General features: G+C 45.0%; 1 long non-coding RNA gene across 2 annotated transcripts; it reads right to left on the minus strand.

Annotated features, from left to right (window-relative positions):
- Positions 1 to 963: 963 nt before the first annotated feature.
- Positions 964 to 6,742, minus strand: LOC102723389 (uncharacterized). Of its 2 annotated transcripts, XR_427009.3 has the most exons (4): positions 5,532 to 6,742; positions 5,033 to 5,177; positions 3,737 to 4,178; positions 964 to 3,444 (listed from the first exon to the last, which is right to left on the minus strand). It is a non-coding gene; the product is annotated as an uncharacterized LOC102723389 (long non-coding RNA). The 2 variants fall into 2 exon arrangements; XR_007088667.1 differs by lacking the exons at positions 964 to 3,444; positions 5,033 to 5,177 and having other exon boundaries at positions 3,792 to 4,178.
- Positions 6,743 to 6,997: the final 255 nt, after the last annotated feature.

Here is a 6,997-nt window from a genome sequence, read left to right on the forward strand (position 1 = left end):
CCACCCTGATGACCTTGCCTCACCTTAATTACCTCTTTAAAGTCCTGTCTCCAAATACTGTCATGTTAGGGGTTAGGGTTTCAATGTATGAATTGGGGGGAAACACAATTCTGTCCGTAATATCAATGGGGTCTTAGAATCAAGAAAATGCAGCATAACTTTCACAATCCATGAAAAGAATGAGCATTTATTGAAGGAAACAAGAGCCATCACCACGCCTCCTCCTATGGCTGGGATGCTATGGCAGTCAGCTGACCCATCGCTGACCATTGCAGAGTCCAGGACAAACCATCAGGTGAGAGGTTAGACCTGGAATCCCTCTTCATCAACACGCCTCCCCCAATTCCCCAGTTCAAAAATGGCTCCACCATATTCTTCTCTATCGTTTCAACAATAACGTGATCCCCCTTCTGTATGCCCACTCTGACAACTCTCACACGACACTCAGGGCCGATATTTTGACCCAGACCATAATGAGTCTTATATTATAATTTAACCCTTACGGAATAAATCTTTTATCTCCAACCACAGAGTGAAATTCTCCTAGCTCACTCCTATTCCTCCTCAACCAGCTGCTATTTTGGAAAACATTCTTTAATTATTCCCCATCCTGAAGCAAGTCTAAGATAGGTGCTCCCTTCTGAGCTCTCAGGGCCACTGTCAGTTTTGCTTCACCCATTTATTGGTCTATCAACCTTACACATATGCATGTGCACTCACACACAAACACACACACACACAAACACACACACACAAACACAATATACACACAAACACACACAGACACAAACACACACACACAAACACACACACACAAACACAACATACACACAAACACAGACAAACACACACACACAAACACACACATACACACAAACACAACATACACACAAACACACACACACAAACACACACACAAACACACACACAAACACAACATACAAACACAAACACACACACACAAACACAACATACACACAAACACAAACACACAAACACACACACACACACACGGTGTGAGCTCCTCAGTGCTAGAAATTCTGTCTTAGCCAACTGTCCACATTCATGGCCCAATACAGTCACGTATTAGCTATGTGTCCTTGGGCAAATTACTTAATACTTAACCTCTATGCCTCAGTTTCCTTCTCTGTAAATAGGGATGATGCCATTATCTACCTCGTAGGATTGCTGTGAAAGCTAAACGAGATGGTGAAATTGAGAAAGTGCTGGCTCAGAGTCAGTGCTCAAATGTGACTGATGATGATTATGACGACAATGGTGCCATACTCTGAGCATGTCAAGAGGAGGGAAGGAAGCTTCATCTGAGCAAGGGGAAAGTAGTCTCCACCTTTTCCCTCTTCTGTGAGACCTACCACAGATCTGTGTACTGGAGTCATTTCTCAAACCAGGACTTAAAGTAAATGAATGATTTGGGCTTCATCTTACCTGGGGACCTTGGGTTTTGTAATGACAAACAGCAGGTGGGCTCTTAAGAGTTTAACCATCATTGATTGTGGCTGGGAAGAAGAGATGGATAAATGTCCTGTATTCAATATGGAAAGTCAACACTGTTCAACCCCAAATACTTGAACCTAAATAGTTCCTTCACAGCTCCTTGTCCTGATCAATGAGTGGCCTGCAAATATCCCAGCATTTCCTTCTTCTGTGCAGTGCACTCTGCCTGTGACAGGCCATCATGGGGCACCCCATCCACACCTCCAGGAATATCCCTGTCCCACTGTGAACGCCGTAAGTCGGGACCACGGCAGAAAAGCGCTACAAGGGTCAACGAAAGCCACCTAATCTGACTCTGAAACATCACCTCTGAGAATGTATCTTCATAACATTATTGAAAAGGAGGAAGCTCCATGTGTATGAAGATATTCACCACACTAGCATCTATAATTTTGAAGATACTAATAACCATACAAGAAAAGTTCAGTGTGCCCTAGCATTTACAATAGAATATTCTACCATTATGAAGAGAAGTAACTGGAAGTCTGCACTTACAGCTAAAGGAGAGACCAAAATTGTGTCTGCACTATGATTACAGTCATGTGAAAATATGTATTCTGTGGCCAAAACACAAAGTATGCCAAGTATCCAGTTATTCTCTTAGGAAGGAAGGGAATTGGGGGATTAGGAAAGTGTCTTCCAACATTAAAAAAGAAAAAATCCTCAGTGTTTTTATAGGAAGGAGTATAGGCTAAGATCTACTTCACAGGTGGTTCCCAGATGTTTGGGAATGCTTCCTAACACAAGGGGGTTTTGCACGTGGGCAGCCCCTGTTGACTGTCACTGTTCTAAATATTCCATAAAATCCCCAGGCAAAAAGTGCTTCCCAGGAACATTATCCTGCATGGATGGGACTCCTGTCATTGGTGGCTGCCTATTCCTTCTTCAGAGTTTTCCCAATTTTAAGAGACTTCTGAAATCTTTCCTTTTGTTTCCTCCTTGTTTTGTATACTTGAATTATTAATTTAACTAATCAACTGGTGCTCACTAAATGTTTCTGAAGAGCTTCTCCACTTGTTTCTATGACTTGGGTGACATTCAATTCTGCACTCCAATGGACACACTCCAAGGGTTCAATGCCACTCCCTCAAACAAGGCACCCCACGAATCACTGCCAGGGCCTGCCAGTTCACTCACAGTCCAGGTCAGAGCAGGGCTGGCTGGAGCCCTAATATTTTTCAGATTTTGGTTCCATTTCAATAATGTTCTAAAATGTGTCTCAACACAGTGGGATATAAACATGAGTTTTTTTCGATTCACTGCCTTTAATCAAGCCTCATCTAATCACCCATTCCCATCTCTTAATAGCACCTTCATCAAATTTCATAACTTTCTGATCACTTTGGGTTATTAAAAGTCAGATATGTTTAAAACTTCAATCTCAAACTTAATTTAAATCGTTCTGCTCCCTTCCCCCAACCCCCAGCAAGGCTGACAGGGACCCTGACTGCTTGGAGTGAGGAACTCTGGACCCTTAGGCCTCTCAACCCTTAAAGGCTTGGCTTCTCTGGAGCTCAGGGTGGAAAGAGCATGGAACAGGAATGCAAGCTTGGTAGTTAACTCTGCTGTTGGCCTCAACTCTCACCAACAAGCCTCCATCCGGGGCTGCTCCCCTCCCCTGCACACTCCTCTGAGATGGGAGGTCCAACTCCAGCTCTTACCTCTCCGTGTACCTTGGCACACTGCAGTCTCCTGCTGCTGGGGCCCACCACCCACACAGCAGCAGGTGCCAAAACAGGCAGGGCAACTCAAGCCCACCCACCTTCCACATTGTCCACTGGACCCATGGAAAATTCATGTCCTCTTAAAACACTGAAATGCAGACACGCAGGCTTGTCTCTGGTCACACTGTGTTCACGCTGCCCTCTCTCCCTCCTTGTCTCTCCTCCTGCTCTTCCAAGCATAGGGCCAGATCAGAAGGTTGGTGATCTAAGCAGACGTTTAATTCACAAATTAGAATATGAGCTTCTTCTTCTAGTTATAGGCACCCTCAATTCTCTTGAGCCCCTCCCTTGACTTGGGGAATTAGAGGTGAATGGAAGGGCGAGAGGTTTGCCTCTCATAATGAACCCCATGCTGCAATGACTTTAGCTTACACTTTCTCTCCCCTCCAATCCCTTCTCATATACACACTGGGAGGGACCTGGGGCAGAGCTGGTGGCAGCAAGGCTAGTGCTGTATGCGAGTGCTGGCAGTTCCCTCCAGCTTGCACAGGACTTACCATCTCTTTGTCCTCAATTTCAGCCCCAGTGACCAATTCTAGATCAACAGGAAAATCCACTCAAGTTTTTATTTCAGATGTGAGTTTAGATGTGGGTCCATATCAGCCTTCTCTTTCTTTTGAGCTTAGTTCACATTTGAGAAAAGGATAAAATCAGGTTTCACCTGGCTCTGGCTTTAGTTAAAGAGTGAAGATCAAAGACCGACTAAACATGAAACAGGGCTGAGCTGAGCCAGCTGGAGGGCCCAGCTGCAGAGGGTGGGTACTGCATGGGTCGGGTGGGGAGTGAGGGAAGCACCAGAAGAGCTCCTGTCCGTGGACCCACCCGGCATGTGGACACACCAAGAGATCTCCAGGGAGCCATAGCGCCTCCATCCTCAGACACTCCCCACTGACTCACAGCTGATGTCTTTCCATTGTTCACCTCTTTGGACTTCAACATCTGTAAAATGGGAAGAAACATGTCTTCCTCAACCGGATGCCAGAGAACTTAACGAGACGATACTATATGTGAAGCACATAGGACAATGTTTAGCACATAAGGAGCACAATGAATTCCCAACCCACCAAACTCCCTAGAGAGACCACATGAGTAGGAAGTACATGGTCCTTCTGCCTTCATAGCTCTCAATGGTCCAGCCACTTCTCAGCAGTGCCACTGCACCAGGCCCACTGCAACAGTCTCCGCTCTGAATCCCTGCTTCCACCCTTGCTCCCACCATCTATTAGAATGATCCTGATGAAAGGTAAGGTGGATCATGACACTCCTCTGCACAAAACCCTGAAATGGCTACTGTCCTCATCAGAGTGGATGACAAAGTCCTCACAATCACCAGCAAGGCCCACATCTTCTGTCCCCAATTGTTGTCTTGTCCTATGACTCCTCCTTCCCTTTCTCCATCACACAGGCCACTTCAGATAAAGCAGACCTGTTTCTGCCTTAGGGCCTTTGACTGAATCATCCCTCTGCCTGCAATGTTTTTTCTCCCAGTATTTACCCTGCCATCCCTTACTTCTTTCCAGTCTCGCCTCAGATGTCACCTTCTGGTGCAGCCGTCCCTGACCACCCTATTTATAATTGCATCATTCCCCCACCTGCCCCATGACATGCCCCACCCCATTCCCATTTTATCTTCTGCATATCATTTTTTCTTCTAACACACCACATAACTTGCTAATTTATTTTCTTGCCTGTCTTCCCCTTCCCACACACATACATTAGCATGTAAGTTCCATGAGGGCAAGAATTTGTATCAGTGTGATTCACTGCTGTGTCCCTAGCATCTAGGGCAGTACCTGGCACATAGTAGGTGCTCAGTAAACATTTGTTGAATGAAGGGCTGAATGAACACAAGGACATGAGTACTTGTGAGCCGGAAGTGTAAGACCCAGTTAACTGCTCAAAAAGCCAGATCCAGTCTCTCTGCAGCTTAGGATGATGCTGAGAATGAATCAGAGGAAGGATGAAGTCAGTTTGGAAGAGAATCTCTGAGCTGAGTAATTGTTCTCCACCCCTGCCTCATCTCAATTTAGACCCAACACTGAAAATTCATTCTGAAAACATCCTCTTTAGTCGCTCAATCATTTATTTCCTCTGAACGCCAACTTGTCTGGGGACCAAAGTCCACAGCTCTTGCAAGTAGAAGCTGTGCCAAGCAGAAGAAAAAGCTAAATGATTCTTTAACCATTTTGACTTCAAAGAACAAACGTGCTGCCTCAAAGCCTCCCAGCTACTCCCCGGGCTCTCTCAGGTACCTGCCCTCTCAGACACTTTTTGCCCAGAACATTGACTCACCCCTTGGATTGAAGGGACACAATCCTTTCATATAGGTGAGTCTCTTCTCTCATAAACTGCAAGCAAAGCAACAGTTAGGTGCAAGACTATGATTAACTGTCAAGTGCTTGCTCCATCTAAAGGCATTTAAACTAAAATAAATAAGTAAATTGCACCGTTCAAGTCAAACAAAACACTCTACACCTGCAAACTGCCAGTCTTGATTGCAAGCTTAGCCCCTACAGCAATGTGGAAATATAGCAGGCACTACATAAATACCTCCTGACTGTTGACTGACTCTCTTGGTACAAAGTACTCACCCAGGTCATGGAAAGCAGCCTAGACCAGGATTAAAAATACCTAATTCAGGAAGAGATTCTCCCATTTTGTAGACATAGTGTGTGGAATGTTTGTTTCCCGTTCCTCTTTCCCCTGGTTCCTAATCCAGAGGGTCTGTGGGGTATCTGTGAACTCACTAGTCAGCAGACAGAGCATGAGGATGTATCTGCATGTATGCAGGCAATGGTGAACACAGGAATACAGAGGAGATAACTGGGGGTAGGGAAGGAAGAGTCAGCTCTTCCCATTCTAGTGGAACCTCTATCCTAGGTTGAGTTTTTAATTAGTGTTCAAAGCCCTTCCATCAAGTTCATACAGTCCCTGCTTACCAATCACACATATGGGTACTGACCCACACACCCACACACCCCTACATGCCTCTCTGACCAGCCTTCCTTCTTTCCTTTCCTAAATCCACTTTGGCTTAATCTACTCAGTAGCCTTTAGAAATCCTCAGGACATTTGTGGTGTTAAAACAAGTGTATTTCCATTGTATTGCACCTGTATTTCTTGTAAAGAGCAATTTCATTTTGTGTCTCCATTGTATTCAATCTGACTTTTGCACTCTGAAACTTCTTCAAACAAAGCTCTACTTGTGAAGCAGGAAACACGGCTGACAGCCTCATGATCACCCAGTATTTTTTTTTTCAGAATGAGGAAATTCACACAGGGCTCAGCCTAGAGCAGGCCAGCCCAGTAGCAGCTTCATCCCAGTGAAGGGGAGAAACACAGCCTCCATCAGTTGTAAGAAGAGTTTTAAAGGCTGTAGGAGGCATTACCCCTTCTCCAACTCCTCATCTCCCCACAACACAGAGAGGAGACTCAGGAGCTGGAGAGTGAATGAGTGAATACTAAATTATTACAACAACCTCTTCAATCATCTTTTGACTCTAATCTTACCTCCATTCAAATAATTCTCCATTTCAAATCATTCAAATAATTTCCAGAGGGATCTTCCATGTCACTCTTGTCCTTAAAGCTGCTCAGTGTCCTCAGGGTAAGTCCAGTCTTCTCAGCTTGGACTTTCCTCATGTAGGTGCAAAATAATTTCTGTAGTTCATCTCTGGCACTTACTCCCTCCCCCTACCATCCATCCAGCCAGCCAGATCCACCTTCTTTCATTTGAGGCATAGACCATCTTCCCTACC

Source organism: Homo sapiens, chromosome 2 (assembly GCF_000001405.40).
Source record: "Homo sapiens chromosome 2, GRCh38.p14 Primary Assembly".
NCBI classification, from domain to species: domain Eukaryota; kingdom Metazoa; phylum Chordata; class Mammalia; order Primates; family Hominidae; genus Homo; species Homo sapiens.